General features: G+C 45.5%; 1 long non-coding RNA gene across 2 annotated transcripts; it reads right to left on the bottom strand.

Moving 5' to 3' along the window:
• Positions 1–6,745: 6,745 nt before the first annotated feature.
• LINC01863 (long intergenic non-protein coding RNA 1863) lies at positions 6,746–22,570 on the bottom strand. Of its 2 annotated transcripts, XR_001743002.2 has the most exons (3): positions 22,539–22,570; positions 22,283–22,402; positions 6,746–7,100 (listed from the first exon to the last, which is right to left on the bottom strand). It is a non-coding gene; the product is annotated as a long intergenic non-protein coding RNA 1863 (long non-coding RNA). The 2 variants fall into 2 exon arrangements; XR_007059058.1 differs by lacking the exon at positions 22,539–22,570 and having other exon boundaries at positions 22,283–22,461.
• Positions 22,571–23,205: the final 635 nt, after the last annotated feature.

The raw sequence follows: 23,205 nt of genomic DNA, 5'->3' as shown, positions 1-23,205 counted from the left end.
ATACCTGGCATTCAATGATTATTTATTAACCTTTGCCAGAACCTTTGTTACTTATACAAAGTTTTGGCCCTTCCCTCTTACCATGGCAGTGCCTTTAAGAACTTCTGTCCCCAAGGCCCACGGCAGTGGCCTCTGAGGGCAACCGTGACTTAATTTAAATCTGGAGTTTTAAACAACGTTAAGTGATGCCCCACAGGAGTGGCCTAATGTCTGTGATGCTCTGGCTTTTTGCTGAACCAGGTTCCTCTGGTCAATGGGCCCATTTGGAGCTCACTCCATTTCCCACCAGGCCTGTTTCTGGGGTCATCTTGTTATGAGGATGGGACAGGTAGCATGAGGTTCAGCCTTCCAAATGTAGGGCTAGTCACTACTTGCAATTGGGGAGAGCCTCCACTTCCTTGGGGAACCCTGACTCCACAGCTCCTAGCTACAATTTGCCTCCCCAAAGGGTGACCAAATGAACGCCTTGCCAGGAGGCAACATCCATTCTGTGATTTCAGCAAGCATCTTTCTCTGGAGCTTACAGAACTGGCCCTTTAAGGCCAATGGGCTGCCTCCCGGGCGGGGTGGATGTAGGGGGCAGGGAAGAGGAAGAGACTTCTCTGCTGCCTGGGAGAGGGAGCGGAAGCCGTTGTGATACCATGGCAACGCTGAACACTCCAAAATGGATTTGTCTAATTTGCAGGTTAATAATCAGGGAAACAGAAGGGCAACTTTCTGTGAGCTGCTCATGGATCCCTGAAGGCTGCTGCAGAAGAGAAATGGGCTAGGTGGGTTGAGGCCTGGCAAAACGGTCCCACCCACTGGGAGATGCAGAAACTGAAGCTCGGTGAGAGGACTGGACCAGCCCAAAGTCACCCAGTATGTCAGCAGTAGCTCCAGTCAGCAGGTCAATGGTTCATTTGTTCATTCAGCAAAAAATATTTACTAAGCACCTACTATGTACCAGGCACTATTCTACCAGCTAGGGGTAAAGAGTGAAGGGTTAACTGGTGTTACAGCAAACTTACAACCTGAACATTAATTTCAGGAATTACTGCAAACATCCATGAAGCCTTTACTCAGCACCAAGCTCAGTGCCAGCAAATGCAGTGCACCTTCCACTAGATACCCCATGAGACCCCTGCAGCAGACACTGTTCTTATTCCCGTCGCATTCGCGGAAAAACCGAGGCCCAAGGAGGATCAGGTGCTTGCCAAGGTCGCACACTGAGTCCCTCCGAATCAAGGGGCCATAAGGTGCCCTCATTCTGCCACATCTCTGCCCCCACACTGGGCTGGAGTGACTGAACTTGGGGCAGAGAGAACCTGGGAAAGTAAACCCCATGGTGCTGGATCCCTGAGGGCTCTGAGACAGGTGAAGTTGGCAAAGAGTGCTGGAAACACAGGACCCCAGGGCAACAGGCCCCACTGCCGCAGAGCCCACTCAGGTCATTCATATAGTGGGATGCAGGCGGGCTCTGTAGTCAGAAGGATCTAGGTAAAAAGTGAGTGACGTGACCCCTGAGCCTCAGTTTTCCTGTCTGTACAATGGGGATGATATGGTGGTGTGAGATTCAGAGGATCAGTGCCCATGAAGGTGCCCGGTTCAATGCTGGCTGAGTTGAGAGTTAGCAGTCACTAACCGGAAGCTTGAAGACATCATGTGTAAAAGGGCACAGAGGCCTGGCAGGACCCATTCCACAGGTACTCTCTGTTCTGACTTGCTGATGTGTCACATTATACACCCCCTTCCTTCTCCTGAAAAAGCAGGGGCGGCCAACGGTTGCAAGGAGTCAAATACAGCCCTGGCTTGGTTTCCACTGGCCAGGGGCTAGGATTTATGAAATGTACACAATGAAATGTACACAATGACCACAGCACTTATTCCCATCACTGTTACCTTTCCAGACTGAATCACTGATTGGTGACACTTCACTTCTGGTGGCCCCTACAGTTTACCCACTACTAACACATATGTTTGTTCACTAATCCCAGGACCTGAGCTTTAGAGTTGAAAGATCCTAGGGCGAGGGAGGGTGGCAATGAATCGTCTCACCTAGTAGTTACCAAGCCTGGATGCGCACCGGATTCACCCGGGAGCTTTTTAGACACGAACGTGAGAACAGTTTTCTTTTGCATGCACACTGTAGAACTTTCCAGCTGTACCAAATAGCATTCAGTAAGTAGTCCCCCAGTGTCTTCCCCAGAAGCAGCCACTGTTTCTTTCTTACTGTCAAGGGGACAATCCATGTATGTGTAGGGGAATGCATTCAGTGCAAGCACGGACAGCCACTGTACACGCCTTCTGTTGCCTGTTCTCATTTATCAGTGCATCTTAGTTGTATATATCAATATATCAGAACATGAAGATCCAACTGGTTTCTTCTTAATGCTGCACAGTATTCCTTTGCTCAGCATTGGTCTCTCACTGATGGACGTGGATGGACTTTCCAATCCTATGCTGATACGGTTTGGCTGTGTCCGAACCCAAATCTCATCTTGAATTGTAGCTCCCATAATTCCACCATGTTGTAGCAGGGACCTGGTGGGAGATAATTGAATCATGAGGGCAATTTCCCCCATACTATTCTCATGGTAGTGAATAAGTCTCACGAGATCTGATGGTTTTTTAAGGGGAAACCCCTTTCACTTGTCTCTCTCTCTCATTCTGTCTCTTGACTGCTGCCATTAAGACGTGCCTTTCGCCTTCCTCCATGATTGTGAGGCTTCCCCAGCCATATGGAACTGTGAGTTCATTAAACCTCTTTTTCTTTATAATTTACCCATTTTCAGGTATGTCTTTATCAGCAGCATGAGAATGGACTAATACATACACTAAGTCAAACAAGACAGCAGTAAGTTTCCTGGTACATACATTCCTTTACGCACAAAACTTAGCGTAATTTTATGTGTGTGCTAAAGGATATTGTATTAGGGAGGCTTAAGGTGACAGATTCCTGGGCCCTCTCAAATACATTCTGATTCCATTGGCCTGGGGTGATGCCCAGGAATCTGAATTTTGAAAAGCACCCACATAATTTGGATGGGCCCCCATGCCTGGAATCTCCTGGCTCATCTAGTGAAAGAGAAGTGCATGTCCTACAAAGCTGAGTGGACTGTGCCAGGCTCCCGACTCCTAGGTCCAGCCCAGTCCATGGCAGCACCTGGAGAAGGCTCTGTGTGGCCACCACCAGTGCCCCTACATGTGTGCCTGGCTCCTGCCAAGGAACCATGATCATTAGCCAAGTGACCCTGGAGCCTGGCTAATCATGTCCCTTCCCACTTCATGTAATTTTATTGTTTTTAATAACACACAAGGCTGGGCGCGGTGGCTCACGCCTGTAATCCCAGCACTTTGGGAGGCTGAGGCGGGCACATCACGAGGTCAGGAGATCGAGACCATCCTGGCTAACATGGTGAAACCCCGTCTCTACTAAAAACAAAAAATTAGCTAGGCGTGGTGGCAGGTGCCTGTAGTCCCAGCTACTCAGGAGGCTGAGGCTGGAGAATGGCATGAACCCGGGAGGCGGAGCTTGCAGTGAGCCGAGATTGTGCCACTGCACTCCAGCCTGGGCGACGTACGAGACTCCGTGTCAAAAAAAAAAAAAAAAAAAAAAAAACTAAATAACACACAAGAGGTCAGTAAGAGTGGCCGCCCCTGGGGAGAAGAACTGGGCACGTGGGAATCGGGGTAAGGAAGAAGACTTTTCCATGCTGAACATGGGTGTTATTACCTTAAAAAAAAAAAAAACTGCTGCATAAAAAATATAAATAACAATGGAATCACTGGGTCTAGCTTGTTCTCTAACCACATGATCTTGAGCAAGTCGCACACACTCTCTGAGCCTCAGTTGGGGGCAGCTACGACATTGGGGGGTCCCATCAAGTGCTGAATGAGTGAATGGAGGTGAGACCCTGGGCAGAGCCCTCAAAAGCCATGCCAGCTGCAGCCCTAGGCAGAGAGAAGCTGGCAAGGCTTTTCTCATTGTGCAAAAGGGCAGAACACAGAGAAACAAAGGCCAACTTGAGGATGGCCATAAAGTCAGGACAATAGGGACGAGGCCTCTCTGAGGGCCTCTGTAGCTGCTGTAAGCCTGCCTCTGTCTCCCTGGGGAGGTCTCTGCCTTGGGGCCTGGACCTGGTGAGTAAAGTCATTCCGTGGGATGTTTTCTGCTCTCTCACTGTGGCCTGGGATGGCACCCTCAGATCCCTTGGGGGCAGAGAATGACACCCCTCCAGACTGTCTCAGAGGCCTGGCAGGCAGAGCCAGCCCAAGCTCCAGGTGGGACTGGAACCGGGTGCATCTGCCCGTGGCCGACCAGGCCTGGGAAAAGAGAAGCCGCCTGCCTCTCAACACAGACTTTCTCCGACCGCCCTCCCCTGGGAAGCAGCGATGACAAAAGCAAAGAGAAGAGGAGCAAAAGCCCACTGGGAGGCGGAAGATGGGCCAGGAGTCCCCAGTGAATTATCTTAACTATGGAAAAAAATTGGAACATTTTGCAACCATTTATGGAGTTTATAGTGAAACAAAAATTGCTTTTGTTCTACGAGAACAAAGACAGATGGGTTCGTTTTCCCTGTTGGGGCCCTAAACTGGGATGGTTCTCTTGAAAGAAAGTAAAAAAGTGAGGTTCTTTGGGTCAGATTTGGCATGTAGATGTCTTCCCCAACCCCCTTCCTCTCAATTCAGACTAACTGGGGACTTAGAATACTTGGTGCTTTTGAAATATTGAAGGATCTGGTAGCCTTAGGCCAACCTACAGCCCTGGCAGCCCTGGGCAGGGCCTTGGTAGTGGTTGGCTTTCTAGAAGGGGCAGCTCTCTCCTGTTTGCCACAGTCCCCCGCCTCCCCAATTGCATCGCATGCAGACTGTGTCTCTCATGCTCACATTACTGTTCTAGCTCAGAAAGATTCAATACATACCCAGTATCTGAAATACATTTTGGTGATTTTGCTAAAGCAATAATAGGTCTGCCTTTCTATTGCTCCTTTCTACCATTTGCTGTTGGCAAACAAGTGTCCCAAGTGCATCCTGGCTAGAAGTCTGAAGCTGTACTGTTTCAAAACTATGATCTGAAGAAAGCTACTTCCCGTTTCTGAGTCTCTATTTCCATAGAATTGATAAGAAAATGATATTTTTAAAATTATTATTTAAGTTCATAATTATGATGTTTTGTGGTTTTGTCAATTGACTGGGTTTGCACCACATGGTGCCAGTGGAGGCCTTGGGAAAGTTGGAAAGTCCAAATGTCCTGGGTCACTTGGCTGGCGGTTGGCTCTGGCTGCCAGCTGGGAGCTCAGCTGGAGCTGTCACGTGGGAGCCTGGCTTCTCCTCCTTGCCTCTCCACGTGGCTGCTTGTGCTTCCTCATAACATGGCACTGAGGGATGTTCCAAGAGCGAAAGACAGAAGCTGCATCTCTCCCAAGGCCCAGCCTCAGAAGTTACCCAATTCTACGTCCATCATAGTCTATTGCTCATAACGGGTGTGAGGGCCTGCCCCAAGGATTCCAGAGGAGGACAAATGGACTCTACCTCTTGATATGCCATGGCAGAGGAGTCTCCTCACAAAAGAGCATGTGAGGTCGGGGATATTTTTGCAACCACTTTGGAAACACGATGTTGCACAAATGGACTTCCACAGTGCCTAATGCACATGAGACCCTCGACTGTTAGTTTCATTCATTCCTTCCACACACAAGTCAGATTTGGCATGTAGATGTCTTCCCCACCCACCTTCCTCCCAAAACTGGGGACTTAGAATACTTGGTGCTTTTGAAATATTGAAGGATCTGGTAGCCTTGGGCCAATCTACATCCCTGTCAGCCCTAGGCAGGGCCTTGGAAGGGGCTGCCTTGTACACCTGTTGCATGCCAGGTCTTACACTAGGCTCTAGGAAGATGGAATTGGTTTTAACCATCATGGAACTCACAGTTCTGGGTGGGAAACTGGCAAGTAAAGCAGGAATTACAACACAACATGGTAATTGTTTTGCAAAAGGAATGCCCTGGAACTAGCACCTGGACCCACGCTGGGCCAGCAAGAATTAGCTTGGGAGATCCACTGGCCCTATTGGGAAATAAAAGTTCTTTCTCACAGGGGTGTTAGGCTGGCAGCAGGATGCCTGGAGCTGCTGAAGGCAGGCTTGCCATCATGTGGGATCTACCAGAGCCCATCTTGCCATGGCTGGGGAGGGCTTGCCTGCAGATGAAACCAACGCAGAGGAATGCAGAGCCACAAGATGGAGGTGAGACTCCTGAGAACACCTTTGGGGCCTCTGAATCCAACTGTTCCTGGACTTTGCCTTTGGACTTTTTGGTTCTATGTGTCAAGCAGGTTTGTTTTTTCCTGGAGTAATTTAGGTTAAGGTTTCCCTTGCTTCTTACCAAAAGGAATCATGACCCCCAGCTCTTAAGGAACTCATAATCTAGTAGAGGGGACTCACGTGCAAGCAAACAATAATGCTTCAATGTTGTAAGGACTGTAAGGAAGAAATGTGCGTGCAGTTTTATGAAGAAAGCATTTGGGTTAATTTTCTTGGATGCAGGAAAAGAAGTTCTAGAATGTTTCCCCCACATACCTATCACAGAGCTGGTCACACCAACAGATGCTCTGTGTGTATGAGTGGAAGAAAAGGCAGAGTCTTATGACAAAACTAGTAGAGACCAGGCGATCCCATGTGAAATCATATCCCCTTCCTAACTTTCTAAATTCAGGGGTTTAGAATTGGCTGCCCTGGTGTCCATGTGACAGTAACAGAATCTCCTTAGCAGAAGCAGAGTCTTTTAATAGACCTCCAGAGGTTAATGGGCCTGACATATCTTTGACATTTATTGGATTTTACGAGCTAGTGGATCTGACTCAGAAAGCCGATCAGATGTTCCAAATCGATGGCCCCTTTGGGGTGCTGTCTTCGCACAGAGCCATAATGAGGTGACCTTGGATGCCTGAGTCCGGAAAGAACAGAAAGAGGATGTCAGAATCGTAGAAATTGCTAAACTGATCAAGGCCTACACAGTGCCTTCAGGCTCGCTCCTGGCCCCGAGATGCTTTGCCCACGGATTCTGTAACTGTACGTTCCTCTTGCCTCACCGTGCCCGAACAGTTACAATCATTAGTCTCTGAAAAAAAAAAAAAATTCCTTCCCTTATTCAACAGATATTCATGGAAAAGCTTCATCGTAATGTCACTTAATAAATGAACATTTCCTGGCACAGGGAACTCCAAGAAGATTGTAGGATGTCCCTTGTCCTCTACCAGCTTAAGAGTCTTGCAGGGGAGACTTCAAGACACCCAAATTCTATTAGTGCCCGCGATGGGGCTGGCAGAGAGAACCATAAAGAGAACAGAGGCAGTGGAATTGAAAGCAAGCTTGCCCTCTGGATGTTAGGGAAGCTTCCCAAAGTAGGGGGCATTTTTGTTGAGTTCTGAAAGTCAAGTAGAAGCTGTCCAGACAGGGGAGAAGAAAAATGACACCTAGGTGGGATGAAGGGTTTACGACATATACAAAAGTGTAGAGATGCAGAGATGCTGTTATTGGAAGATGCAGAGTAAGTGTCACAGAAGACAAATATAAGGGCTGGAAAGAATAGAAAAGGATACTCTCATACATTGCTACCAGGGGTGGGAATTTACTATGGAGCATTTTGGGAAGTGATTTGGCAATATCTATTCACTTTTAAAATACACATGACATTTAACCCAGAAATTCCACCTTGGTTTGCTTGTTTGTTTGTTTTTTGAGAAAGAGTCTCACTCTATTGCCCAAGCTGGAGTGCAGTGGTGTGATCTCAGCCCACTACAACCTCTGCGTCCCGGGTTCAAGTGATTCTCCTGCCTCAGCCTCCCGAGTAGCTGGGATTACAGGCACCCGCCACCAGGCCTGGCTAATTTTTTGTATTTTTTAGTAGAGACAGGGTTTCACTATGTTGGCCAGGATGGTCTTGAACTCCTGACCTCAAGTGATCTGCCAGCCTCGGCCTCCCAAAATGCTAGGATTACAGTCATGAGCCACCATACCCGGCCCAGAAATCTTGCCTTTGGAGCTCAAGCCTGTAGATATTAAAAACAAAAGCAAAAAGCACTAGTATCAAAAGCTTATATTATACTTAAGCTGATATTTATTGTAGCATTGATCATTGTGGGAAGATAAAAAAGAAACCACCTGAAGATCTGCTGACAAGGGATTGGTTAAATAAAATGTGGCATATTCATATCTTGGAATTCCATGGAGCTATTAAAAAGGCAGAGAGAGTAGTCTCTCTAGCCACTGGTCTATAAGAATAAGTCTGGTACATCACGGAAGCTCTCTTCTTCAACATAATGGGGATAAGAGTCAATTAAAAGTCATAAAAAAGACACATTGCTTTAAAGCTTAAAAACCTCTGAGTTGTTTGCCATTCTTTGGATGTAAGGCCCAAGTCTTTTTACTGGACATTTGCTGCTAATTGGTATTCCATGTTACCTTTCTTGCACAAACCATTTCTATAATATGTAATCTACAATTTTCTGTTCTGTTTTCTTTAAAGTGGGGTGAGAATTTAAAGGCAGTGGTAAAGCAATCTGCATATAGAACACCACTAGATTTTTATGATATCCCCTCTTGTGTTAAATTGTGAAATATTGCCAGAGCTTCCTCCCATGCCAGTAGGCATAAGCTTTTGTGATGTGGTGTTGCTGCTCCTCCTATCAAGAGGTGAAGCTTATTTCCCATCCCTCAAAGTGAGGATGACCTTGTGACTTGCTTTGGCCAACAGAAAATGAGGTCAGGCTAGAGCTTAAGAGAACTTGCTCTTTTCTGGTTTGGGCCCTGTTGGACTGCTGCCCTGAGGCCACCATGTGAGGAAGCCCAGCTAGTTCAGGATAAAAGGCAATGTGAGGGGTCAGTGGATGGCCAGCATCAACTGCCAGACAGATGGAGAAGGTCATCTCGGACTTTCCAGCCCAGTCAGCTCCAGCTGAATGCAGCCTTGTGAGAGAGTCCAGGCAAAACCAGCAGCCCATGAAATTATGAGAAATAATAGACCATTATTGTTCCAAGCCACTATGTTTTGGGGTGGTTTGTTATACAGCAAAAGGTAACTGATATACCCCAGATCTTTATTGTCAACTGGGTAGCAAATGTTTTTAGAAAGCAACATTGAGCAAATATTTCCGGGGCATTTAACTTGATTTTCATAGAAACGTGATGGTCTTCGTTTTCTGCTCTAATTGCACTGATTTATAAAGTATTTGATGAAAGTATAGAATTACAGTTATAATCCCAGTGGTATAAACAGGCTTAAGGACCAATACAACCTGACTCTGATGAGCCCAGAAGTCACCTGGTGGGAGCAGAAGGATGCAAACATACCAGAAAGCAGCCAAAGCTTGTTAGCACCATGGGTGTCCAGGAGCATCAGAGGAATGGAGAGCACTGGGGAATCCAGCCACTCTCTGTAATAGAGGTTGGTAAAGAGAGCTTTTACCCTGTTGTTAAGAAAGAAAATTAGCTACAGAGAAATTCACTTGGTAGGATCCAACTGTAGAAAAACAAAACCAACATGTCTGTTCATGTTAGTATGACAACACGGAGAATGATCTAGAAGGATACATGCCAGACTTGTCATGGCTACCTCAGGGCTAAGAGTGGGAATAAAGAGGGAAAGGAGACATGGGGCAAAAGCACTGTAGCAAAATGCAAAATGTACATGGCTTTAAGTAAAAACAAATAGAAAGTAAAATCAATGAAAGATGATGGGATAGTAGGCAGTTCTGAGCTTGAATTTTCTTTCTTTAGTAGTTTTTATAATAAAGAGCAGAGGAAAAAAAACTACACTCTCAGATATATGCCATAGTATCTTGTGATTTTTATGCCAATGACATATTGTTATAATCCACCAAAAATAATTTCCCTCTGCCCTATATCTGCATATTCATTAGTTGGTATATTTTCTATAATATTTAGCACTTTCTAACTGGCTTTATTTGCATATATTTTTATATTTTGTTATTTGATTATAAGGTACTTGAGGGTACAAAATGGTACCTTACATAACTGGGCATCTTCAAAGTGCCTTGTTCATAATAGGCGATCAATAAATGTTTCTTAGATGAAAGGGGAAAGAAAACCTCACTCTGATGGCAGTTGACTAGGGAGAGATCCAGGAGGTAGTCAATTCAATCTCCGGAAGAGCTCGCAGCAAGTGCATTAGTCAGGGCACAGCAAATGACAACAGAGCCAGACTCTCACCTGCTTTTTAAGCAATGAGGAAATACATTTTCTCACATAGCCTGATGTCCGGAGGCAGGAGAGCTGCAGTTCCCAGCAACTCACCCAGATTCAAAGTGCCCCAGAGAAGATGAGAAGTACTTTCTTTCCGTGTTATTTTCTTAGAAATATGGAAACCTGGTGGAGACTCATATAAAAATGGTGGATAGGAGGCAAGACTAACTTGCAGCTCCCATTCGGATGGACAGAGTAGCAGGTGGAAACTCACGTGAACTTTCGCTCTAAGAACTACCAAGGGAACATACCAGGAAAGCCAAGAGAATGAGAATCCACAGACCCTTTAAAGGAGGTGGATTGCCACCGCGGGCTGCGTGGAACTGCCAAGGAACTGTGAGTCTGCTTGTTTTCTCGGCTGGGAGGCTTGTAGCCTGGGGCAAGTTCTCAGCCCTGCTCACCCGCTGCCTGTAAATAAATCCTGTGCTGTTGGGGGTGCATGGTGAGAGTGGCCTTTCAGGCTGTGGGCTGCATGGGAGCTGGGTGAAGCCTGTGGCTGCCAGCTTTCCCCCAATTCCCTGGTAACCTGTGTGACACAGCAGAGGCAGACATAGTCCCCTGGGAACATAAATCCACTGGCCTGGGAATCACACCCCCATCCCCCACAGCAGCTGCAGCAAGCCTGGCCCAATGAGAGGCTGAGCTCAGACATGCCTAACCCTTCCCTCACTTGGTGGTCTTTCTCTACCTGCCCTGATAGCTAAAGACAAAGGACATAATCTCCTGGGAGCTCTATGGCCCCGCCCACTACCTGACCGTAGGGCAGTCTTGTATCTTTCCTCTACTACTGTAGCTGATGAGCTCTTGAAAATGTCACCTCCTGGCCAGAGGCCAACCAACTCAAAACCAGTGCACTAAACAAAAATACAACCCAGGGCCCTCAGAGTCGACTTCACTCCCCTGCTACCTCCACTGGAGCAGGTTCTGCTATCCACAGCTGAGAGACCTGAAGACGGTTCACATCACAGGACTCTGTGCAAACACCTCCAGTACCAGCCCAGAGCCTGGTGGCCCTGCTGGTTGGCTAGATCCAGAAAAGAAATAACCCTCATTGCATTTCAGCTCTCAGGGAGCCCTATCCTTGGGAGAAGGGGAGAGCACCAAATCAAGGGAGCACCCCATGGGACAAAAGAATCTGAACAGCAGCCCTTGAGTCCCAGATCTTTCCTTTGACATAATCTACCCAAATGAGGAGGAACCAGAAAAACAATTCTGGTAATATGACAAAACAAGGTTCTTTAGCACTCCCAAAAGATCACATTAGCTCACCAGCAATGGATCCAAACCAAGACAAAAATCTCTGATTTGCCAGAAAAACAATTCAGGAGGTCTACTATTAAGCTACTCAAGGAAGCACCAGAAAAAGCTGAAGTCCAACTTAAAGAAATAATAATAAAAAAAGATACAGGATATGAATGGAAACATCTCCAGTGAAATAGATAGCATAAATTTTAAAAATTCACAACCTCTGGAAATAAAGGATACACTTAGAGAAATGAGAAATGCACTGGAGAGTCTCAGCAATAGATTGAACAAGTAGAAGAAAGAACTTCAGAGCTCGAAGACAAGCCTTTCAAATTGACCCAATCCAACAAAGAAAAATAAATTTTAAAAAATTAACAAAGCCTCCAGGAAGTTTGGGATTATGTTTAAAAGACCAAACCTAAGAATAATTGGTGTTCCCAAGGAAGAAGAGAAATCTAAAAGTTTAGAAAACATATTAGAGGGAATAGTCAAGGAAAACTTTCCCAGCTCTGCTAGAGATCTAGACATCCAAATACAAGAAGATCAAAGAACACCTGGGAAATTTGTCATAAAAAGATCATTACCTTGGCACATAGTCATCAGATTATCTAAAGTCAAGACAAACAAAAGAATCTTAAGAGCTGTGAGGTGAAAGCATCAGGTAACCTATAAAGGAAAACCTATCAGATTAACAGCAGATTTCACAGCAGAAACCCTGCAAGCTAGAATGGGATTGGGGTTCTGTATTTACCCTCCTTAAACAAAACAATTATCAGCCAAGAATTTTGTATCCAGTCCTATGTTTGCCCTCCTTAAACAAAACAATTATCAGCCAAGAATTTTGTATCCAGCAAAACTAGGCTTCATAAATGAAGGAAAGATAATCTTTCAGACAAACAAATGCTGAGAGAATTTGCCACTACCAAGCCAACACTATAAGAAATGCTAAAAGGAGCTCTAAATCTTGAAACGAATCCTCGAAATACACAAAAATAGAATGTTCTTAAGGCATAAATCTCACAGGATCTATTAAAACACACACACACACACACACACACAATGAAAAAAAAAAACACAAGGCATTTAGGTAACAAATACCACAATGAATAGAATAGTACCTCACATGTCAATACTAACATTGAATGTAAATGGCCTAGATGCTTCACTTTAAAGATACAGAATAGCAGAATGGGTAAGAATTCATCAACCAAGTATCTGCTGTCTTCAAGAGACTCACCTGACACATAAGGACTCATATAAACTTAAGGCAAATGGGTGAGAAAAGATATCCCATGCAAATGGATACCAAAAGTGAGCAGGAGTAGCTATTCTTATATCAGACAAAACAAACTTTATAGTAACAGTTAAAAAAAGACAAAGAGGGACATTATATAACGATAAAAGAACTAGTCCGACAGGAAAATATCACAATCCTAAATATATGTTCACCTAACACTGCAGCTCCCAAATTTATAAAACAATTACTACTAGACCTAAGAAATGATATAGATGGCAACACAATAAAAGTGGGGGACTTCAGTACTCCACTGACAGCACTAGACAGAGCATCAAGACAGAAGGTAAACCAAGAAACAACGGACATAAACTATACCCTAGAACAAATGGACTTAACAGATATTTACAGAACATTCTACCTAACAACTGCAGAATATACCTTCTATTCAGCAGCACATGGAACATTCTCCAAGACAGACCATATGACAGGCCACAAAACAAGTCTCAACAAATTTAAGAAAATCAAAATTATATCAAGTGTGCTCTCAGACCACAGTGGAATAAAATTGAAAATCAACTCAAAAAGGAACCCTCAAAACCATGCAAATACATGGAAATTAAATAACTTGTTCCTGAATGATCATTGGGTCAGCAATGAAATCAAGATGGATATTTAAAAATTCTTTGAACTGAAAAATAATAGTAAGCCTATCAAAACCTCTGGGATACAGTAAAAGCAGTGCTAAGAAGAAAGTTCATAGCATTAAATGCCTACATCAGAAAGTCCAAAAGAGCATAAATAGGCAATCTAAAATCACAACCCAAGAAGCTAGAGAAACAATCAAACCCAAATCCAGCAGAAGAAAATAAATAATCAAGATCAGAGCAGAATTAAATAAAATTGAAACCAAAAAATACAAAAGATAAATGGAACAAAAAGCGTGTTCTTTGAAAAGATAAATAAAATTGATAAACCATGAGATTAACCAAGTAAAGAAGATAGAAGATCCAAATAAGCTCAATTAGAAATGAAACGGGAGATATTACAACTGATACCACAGAAATACAAAAGATCATCCAAGGCTACTATGAACACCTTCAGTTGCATAAACTAGAAAACCTAGAAGAGATGGATAAATTCCTGGAAATATACCACCCTCATAGATTAAACCAGGAAGACATAGAAACTCTGAACAGACCAATAACAAGGAGCAAAATTGAAAAGGTAATTAAAAAGTTACCAACAAAAAAAAATCCAGGACCAGACAGATTCACAGCTGAATTATATCAGACATTCAAAGAAGAATTGGTACCCATCCTATTGACGCTATTCCAAAAGATAGAGAGACAGGAAACCCTTTCTAAGTTATTCTATGAAGCCAGTATCACCAAAAACAGGAAAGGACATAACAAACAAACAAACAAACTACAGACCAATATCCCTGATGAACACAGATGCAAAAATCCACGAAATACTAGCTAATTAAATCCAACAGCATATCAAAAAGATAATCCACCATGATCAAGTGGATTTCATACCACGGATGCAGAGATGATTTAGCATACACAAGTCAATAAATGTGACACACCACAAAAACAGAATTAAAAACAAAATTCACATGATCATCTCAATAGATGCAGAATAAGCATTTGACAAAATCCAGCATTCCATTTATACATCCAGCAAAGGACTAATATCCAGAATCTATAAAGAACTCAAAGAAATCAACAAGTAAAAAAAAACAAGCAATCTTGTCAAAAAAGTGGAATAAGGACACAGACAATTCTCAAAAGAAGATCTACAAATGGCTAACAAGTATATGGAAAAATGCTCAACATCACTAATTATCAGGGAAATGCAAATCAAAACCACCATGAGGTACCAGCTTACTCCTGCAAGAATGGCATAATCAAAAAATAATACATGTTGGCTTGGACATGGTGAAAGGGGAACACTTGTACACCGTTGGTAGGAATGTAAACTAGTACAACTACTATGGAAAATAGTGTGGAGATTCCTTAAAGAACTAAAAGTAGATCCACTGTTTAATCCAACAATCCCACTACTAGGTATCTACCCAGAGGAAAACAAGTCATTATATGAAAAAGATACTTGCACACACATGTTTATGGCAGCACAATTTGTAATTGTAAGAATATGGAACAAGCCCAAATGCCCGTGAGTCAACAAATGGATAAAGAAAATGTTATATATATATATAAAAAATGAAATACTACTCAGCTATAAAAAGGAATGAAATAATTGGAGACCATTATTCTTTCTTTTTTTTCTGTTTTTTTGAGACAGAGTCTTGCTCTATTGCCCAGGCTGGAGTACAGTGTTTCTACCTTGGCTAACTGCAACCTCCACCTCCCAGGTTCAAGCGATTCTCCTGCCTCAGCCTCCCGAGTGAGACCATTATTCTAAGTGAAGTAACTCAGGAATGTAAGTAACTCAGGTATGGAAGTAACTAAGTGAAGTAACCCAGGAATGGAAGTAACTCAGGAATGAAGTAATTCAGGAATGGAAAACCAAATATCATATGTTCTCACTCATTAGTGGGAGCTAAGCTATGAAGATACAAAGGCATAAGAACCATACAATGGACTTTGGGGACTCCGGGGAAAGGGTGGGAGGGGGCAACGGATAAAAGACTATGCATTGGGTACAGTGTACACTGCTCGGGTGATGGGTGCACCAAAATCTCAGAAATCACCACTAAAGAACTTATTCATGTACAAAAACATTAATTAATTTTTTTAATGTAAAAAAAAAACAGAGATATGGAAACCTTTCCAGTAGCCCCATCAGACTCCTCTCATGTCTCATTGCCCAGATTTGGGCCACATGCTGAAACTGAGACCAGTCACTGGTTCATGAAAGAGGATTAGCCTGATTGGCCTAGACCATCCGTGGGTCCATATGTGGTCCTATTTTGCACATGATAAGCATGCAGTTTTATCATATGGAATTTACCAGGTAATTTTGACAGCACCTATACCCTGTTCAACAGAGGAATCCACTGTTCACATGTTTGGATGCCATAGCAAAGTCAAATAGCTATAAAAGTTTCTAAACACTCTCCGTTTCTATACTTATTACACAGCAGTAGTAAATAAATAGTTCGCTGCAGAACAGCACTGCTCAATGGACCACACTTTGAGTAACACTGGCTTAGACTGCTCAGAATCACCTCCTACACCTAGGATGGAGTCAGCTCCCTGACACATGTGAAGCTAGGGTGGAGAACTTAGAAAATCAGGGATATGTTGTCAAGGCACAAAGGCAGAAAGGAAGCTGGGTAGGCAACTTGTAGTTCATTACACTGCACTTCAACAACCAGCTGAGAGCGGGTCACCATTCATACACAACTTTGAACACAACTCCACACACTGAGACGGTGTCCTCACTGCATACAGCCGCCTTGTCCTTCTCTAAGGCAGAATGAGATAATACTCCTATTCCTGACTAGAAGCAAAGAATCTGGCCACAGGTGGTAGGGAGGGAAAAGATTATTTGGAGTATCTGGCCTGGGTTAGTTAGGCTAGGCTAGGCTGCCATAACAAACAACTCCAAATTCCCAGCAGTTTACGACAATAATGGATAATTTCTCACCCATGCTACATGGCCACTGTGAGGTGGCTGTGGCTCTGCCCCACATCTGCCTTATCTGGGGACCCAGGAGGATGGGGCAGCCTTTATCTGGAACGGTGCTAATTTTGTGGCGAAGGGGAAAAGAATATAGGAAGCCACAAGATGATTCCTTAAGCTTTTCCTAGAAGTATCAATCTTCACTTCCCTCACATTGCATTAGCCATAACAAGTCACATGGCAAAGCCTGAAGTTAATGGGACAGAGAAGTAGAATCTTCCCTAACGAGGACCATGGACATTTTTGAACAAGATCACAATCTCTCATGGCCCCTTCCTGAGCCCAGGTGCCACATCCATGGAGAATGGTTTTTTTCCCTACATCATCTAGATTGGAAAGTCTTTCCTGGTTGAAGACACCATCGATGTTTTGTTGTGACTCTCCTCACAGAATAAATACTCCGAGGTGGCTTTTCCCAGCGAAATAAATACAGAGGTGCAAAGTGTTGGGGGTGGGGGGTGCTGTGTACCTACTATGTTCTAGATACTCTGCTAGATTCCTTCCACATGGTTTATAAACATTCTTACAGTCACCCTCTGAAAGCAGGCATAACTTTACAGCAGAGGAAACAGGCTCAGGAATAGTGCATAACTTGTCCTATCTGTTAAAGCTAGAAAAAACCATGGAAATAGTGATTGTTTATACTATCATCAGTATTATTAAAATGACTGCCTTTTATCAAGAATTACTCCATACCCTGTAGTGTTATTTACTTCACTTGGATAATCTCATTTGAATTTTACAACAATCTTATGGCAGAATTGCTATTATTTTTATTATTCTATCGGTGAGGAAATTGAGGCTTAGAAAGAAAAAGAAAGTTGCGCCCAACTTGTGAAAAAGGGGCAGAGTTCAGAGCAGAACCCAGATGCGCCCAGGGTCATTCTCTAACCCCCAGAACACAGCATTTCTCAATGAGTAAAGAACTCACGAGGGCATCAAAGCTTTCCCTGGACCATATAGGAAGGAATGGGGAAAAGCCTCCCCTGCAAGCCAGAGAGGAGAGGAAAAGGAATGCCTGGTGGGGATATGAGTGCAAGGACAGGCATTGGGCCATTTGCATTCCACATCCTTCTAAAGAAGACCCCTCTGCGGCCAGGTGTGGTGGCTCACGCCTGTAATCCCAGCACTTTGGGAGGCCGAGGCGGGTGGATCATGAGGTCAGGAGTTCGAGACCAGTCTAGCCAACTTAGTGAAACCCCATCTCTACTGAAAATACAAAAAATACCAGACATGGTAGCAGGCGCCTGTAATCCCAGCTACTCGGGGGGCTGAGGCAAGAGAATCTCTTGAACCTGGGAGGCGGAGGTTGCAGTGAGCCAAGATCGTGCCATTTTTACTCCAGCCTGGGCGACAATGCGAGACTCCGTCTCAAAAAAAAGACCCATCTGCGTCTTCTTCAATGTGTTGTTTTTGTTTCGTAATATCGTGGCCATAGGATGCCCCAGCTGAGGTGGACATACGTTGTTTTCCTGCCTAGAGTTCCCTCTTTTAAAAACAGCACCTCCCTTTTCCTTTGGGGAACAGCCTCTTCCACCTGGGTCTGTGTGGGCCGCATGGTCATCGTGGAGCAGACATCTCCACTTTGAGCAGCGTCACTTGTGATTCATCTTAGCTATGGAAATGCCAGCCAAGGAGACACCCATTGCCCTGGGGGAAGATAGGATTTATTTGAGAGCCATTGTCTGTCCCTCTTCAAATTCTTTGACACACAGAGGTCAGAAGTCACCAAGGAGGAGGGGGGCAAATTTGCCCGGAAGCCGTGGTGGTCATGGATCATGTGTTTGGGCTGCTCATTTTGGGGGGAACCCTCTACCACAGAAGCCTGCATGGTGGGTAAAGACTTCTACTACAAAAGCTGACATTCACTTCCCAGCCTCCTTCGTGGCTAGGAGCTGGCACGTGGACTAGGGCTTCTCCAATCAGACACGCCCCTCTCAGGACATCAGCATGGGCACTAGTGACGCGAGAAGCAGGGTCTTCATGGAATCCATTCTGGCAAGGAGCTGTTCCTCCACTGGGCAGAGACACAACCCCCTGCGTCACCAATAACACCCGACAGCTACTGCTTGATAAATATTTCGTGGGTGAATTAACCAATAATACTAGTAGCAGCCCTGGTATTATTGGTGATGCAGGGTGTAGCGTCTCTGCCCAGTGGAGGAACAGCTGTGTCCTCACAGGACTGGCTCTGAGGTGTGGTTTGGGAACTTGTTCTGCCTGGGTGACTCCATGCCTGGGTCTCTGGCCCGCCCAAAGACTCCGGGAGCTACTCGATAAACAGGCCTTTAAGAAATACTTTTCTGCTTCACCTGGCCAGGTTTGGCTCCTGTCATGTGTGTAAGGATCCTGGCTGAGGATAGAGAAGGCAAAGCGGGTCACGAGCAAAAGGATCTGAGAGGATGGGGCCCTCCAGAGCTCACGTCACCTCTCTCTGGCTGCAGCCTGAGCCCTGGAGAATGATGGTTCTTGCATAATGTTAAGGGAGGAAGGGCTGAGGCCAGAAGAGAGATGCTGACCATGCTGCTCAATTAGGCAATGGGGCTTCAAGGCACAGGTTAAAAACACAAGTGACCTCTTTTGGGCACCAAGCTGGAGAAAAAGTTATACCAGTTACCCTTCATCACTTCAATAATACCTCTTCAGAGGTGAAATTCAAGCACTTGTGGTTAGTTGAAGGAGGGGGAAGATGTGAAAATTAGGGACAATGGAGCGCCCCCCGCCACCCTCGAACTGAGAAAAGGGCAAATTGATCGTCAACTCCACCCACAGGTCCTGGAGCTAAGTGATTGTCTCAAGTATGAGCCAGACATATGAGGAAACTGGACAAGGGCCCTTCACGAAGGGCAGGGCACCATAGTCCTGGGTGCAGAGAGCCCCCAGGGCCCCCAGCGACAGCCCCTTCTGTGTCAGCACATGCCACAGAGTCAGGCTTCCAGAAAGCCTTGAGCTTTACAAACACAGGGTCTGGGGAATTCCAGACATTCTGAGTGGCCACATGGTCAGCACACCCCGTGTTCCAGCTAGGAAAGCCCTCCAAAGGCTCTCCTGGAATTTGAATTATTTGCCTGTAGGTTGTTTAGAGATTTTCCGTGGAGAATTGGGGTTTTAATTCAGAGATGCCGAGCATACACATTTAAAGTGCCAATAAGCAAAAAGCTAGTTATTGATATGTCAAGAAAAAGTCAGGCAACCCACACAGAAATCTTCAGCTCTAAATTTACAACTGCAGCCAACTTCTGAACTTCGAGTCCTCCTACAAAGCCGAGGTCGGTGGGCCCCCACGCTAGAGAAATGAGCCTGTTTTTTCTGATGCAAGTGTTCTAAAATGGATGGTTCTGATGTTTGCACAACTCTGTGAATAGACTGAAAAGCATTTGCATGTACACCTTAAAAGGGTGAATTGTATGGTATGTGAATGATATCTTAATAAAGCTGTGACCGCATTACATACAAGGGGCACAGAGAGTGTAGAGTAGGGTTTGAATCTCAAACCTCCCACGCACTGGCTGCGGGACCTGGAGCAGGTCACTAACCCTAGATGAGCTTTGCTTCCTCAATCTCTAAAGTGATGATCAAATCATAGTTATGTCTTGGAATCAACATACAGGGGAAATGAGAGCTGTCTGTGACATTGCCTGGCCCATGGAACGCACTCTATGAATGTGTGCCTTACCAAGTCCCTGTTATTGCCAGACATAGGGGACACAGAGATAAATCAGGCTGCACTCCTGCCTTCAAAGAGGAAGCAGCTGTTTGGAAGACAAGTTTGGGAGACAAGCAGTGACATTTTAGGGTCATCAGTGCTGTGATTCAAGGACAAAATCCATGCAGTGGAACCAGAAAATGGAGGGGAGGAGGGCTGGAGGGCTCAGGGAGGACAATGCCACTCCTTGGACCCAGCTTCCCTGACCACCGAGTCTCCACAACCCCATTACTGCCTGTCTATTGCCCTCCTTTGTTTCTCCCCGGCATCACCTGAATGTGTTCTCATTCATTTACTTGGGCGCTCCCTTGATGCCTGTGTCACTCCCACCTAGACTGGCAGCCCCATGAGAGCAGGGACCTTGTCATTCTTGGCCACTGCTGTGTCCCTGGTGGCCAGAATGGTGTCCTGTGCTTAGTAGACACTTGGTATTTGCTGGAGGAAATACAGCATTAAGATGAGGCTTGGAGGGTACCTGGGAACTAGCCAAGTGAAGAAGCCAGAAAGGGCATTGCAGGCTGAGAGCACAGCAGCCAAGCTACCATTGCTGGAGACTGCACAGACTAAGGAGGGGGACAGGAGGGGGATGGCAGGGGATGGAGATGGAGACACAGGGAAGGGCAGCCCCAAGATGAAGCTTGGCTCTCACTCCAGGGCTCTCACCACTACAGAGTTCCCCTTCTCTGTTGGCTCCAGTCTATGAAAAACCCCCACAGATCCTGGTAGGCGTGCTGAGTGCAGCTGGTGCATTTCTATAGCAACCGTCACCATGGCACCAGAGGCCTGGATCCAACTTCCGGCTCTGCTGAAGCCCTGAGCTCCTGTTACCTGCACCCCCTACCCTGAGCATCCTTTATCCCACAAGGTAGAAAGATGTGGCTGGGGTCCTGCCAGGAGAGCTGTGGCCAGGATGCAGGGCACAGGGTCACAGGATTAAACATCACATGTGTTAGGACAGACAAAGTTGCCAAAGGTGGACACAGACTGAATGCTCACTGGTGATTCCAATTTGCATTGCTTTTCTCAGATGGGGGTAGGGGGTTGGATTTGAATATGCAGCGAGGCGTGGAGCAGACTGGCCTCCATGTGGGCTGGCAGGGAGTGGTGGGGGGCTCTGGGTAGGAGGCCTAGGATGTAACCCCAGCCCCAGAGGCCCCCAGACCTGTGGCTTCTCTGAGCTTCACTCTCCCAGTCTATAAAATGGAAAGGGTAAACACTGATACTATCAGCCCGTTTCAGATATCAGAGAAATAAGCACATGCCTTGCACCTTGTAGGTGCTTGATAAATATGCCATGAGTGAATTAATAAGTAATATTAAAAGTAATGTCACCTCTCAGTCAACAAAGCTGTGAGCCCCAGTCCCCTTCTCTCCTCCCCGCTCCACATTCTGTTCAAACCCAATTCTGTTGCATCAGCTTCAGACCCATCTCCTCCTCTCTGCCATGTCCCTGCCTCTCACCTTAGAGGTCAGGTCGCAGAGGAAGCACTGGTTACCAAGTCGCAGACCTGAGTTCTAATCCACCAATATAAGTTGCTGGCCTTGTGACCCTGGGCAAGTTGAGTCACGTGCCTGGGCCCCAGTTGCACAACTGCCTGCTTCTACCGAGATCCCTTTGGTTGAAAGACTCGGAAACCAAACCAGGCTGGCTTAAGCCCAAAGGAAGGATAAGGTGAGGGTTGTGAGATTTAGCAAATAAAAATACAGAATGCCAGCCCAGTTTGAATTTTGGATAAAGAACTAACAATTTTTTGGCCAAGCATTGTGGCTGACACCTGTAACCCCAGCACTTTGGCGGGGAGGACGAGGCAGGAAGATCACTTGAGGTCAGGAGTTCGAGACCAGCTGGGCCAACATAGTAAAACCCCATCTTTATTAAAAATACCAAAAAATAAAATTTGGCCGGGCGTGGTAGCATGTTCCTATAATCCAGCTACTCAGGAGACCAAGGCAGAAGAATTGCTTGAACCTGGGAGGCGGAAGATGCAATGAGCCAAGATTGTGCCACTGCACTCCAGCCTGGGCAACAGAGTGAGACCCTGTCTCGAAAAAAAAAAAAAAAGAACTAATAACTTTTTTAATATAGGTATGTCTCAAATATTGCACAGGGCATACTTGTATTAAAAAAATCATTATCGGACAATCAAATTGAACTGGGCAACCTGTTTTCTCTGGCAACCCTAGGTGGGCGGATACTTACCAGCTCATGAAACAAGCTGGACCCAGGAGCTCAGGTGACATCGTGACATCATGAGGAGGCTCTGTCTCCCCGACTCCCATCTCTGGGCTTTGCTTCTGTAGCCTCAGGGAGGCTTATCCCCTGTGAGGGTAAAAATAGCCATCAACTGCCCCTGCTCCTGAGGACCGGTTACAGAAGACTTCCTCCCTCCTCCTCTCCTTCCCACCCTGTGCCCACGCAGAGCCCTAGCCCTGCCTCAGGGATCACCCTTGTTTACCAAGCTGCAGCTTTCTGCTTGGGCAGCTCTTCAGAGGCCGCCTCTGACCTGGCCATCCACAGCTAGCTCTCCACACCTAAGCCACTTCGCCTCCAGATTTTAGTTTCCTAATCTGTGGTGTTAGAGGACTTGACCTGCCAGGGGTCACAAACTCAAACAACACTAGAGTTTAGGCCAGGACTTTAAATAAATAGGCTCCTGGAGACAGCAGCCTCATCTAAAGGGAGTAGGTACAACTCAGCTCTTGTTCTTTGCTGTCAAGCAGGAAAGCAGGCCCAGGATTGCCAACACTTCAGATTCTCTGAAAGAACTAGAAATCTGGATATTTAAGGAAAAAATTCCCAATTATGAGTGGTGGTCCCCTATTGCAATCTAGAGCTGGGCTCTCAGAGGGATTGCTGGAAACTGCATGCCGTGGAATGCCTGAGGGTGCTATTTAAAATGCGGATTCTCTGGCCCCACACAGAACCTCTGGAACCAGCACCCAGAAATCTGCCTTTTAGCAGGCACCTTCAGATGAGGCTTAGGCCCATTAAAATGTGAGAACTACAAATCCTGGATTTTCCATTTTAATAAAGTTGGCCCTTCATTTGCACCCATTACAATGGGGACAGGATCACCTCTCGTTTAGCATTTTCTCCCCAATCATTCCACCCTCCATCCCAGT

The sequence above is a fragment of the Homo sapiens genome, chromosome 5 (genome assembly GCF_000001405.40).
Source record: "Homo sapiens chromosome 5, GRCh38.p14 Primary Assembly".
NCBI classification, from domain to species: Eukaryota; Metazoa; Chordata; class Mammalia; order Primates; family Hominidae; genus Homo; species Homo sapiens.
Note: the sequence above shows the minus strand (reverse complement) of the source record. Positions and strands in the feature narration are given on the sequence as shown.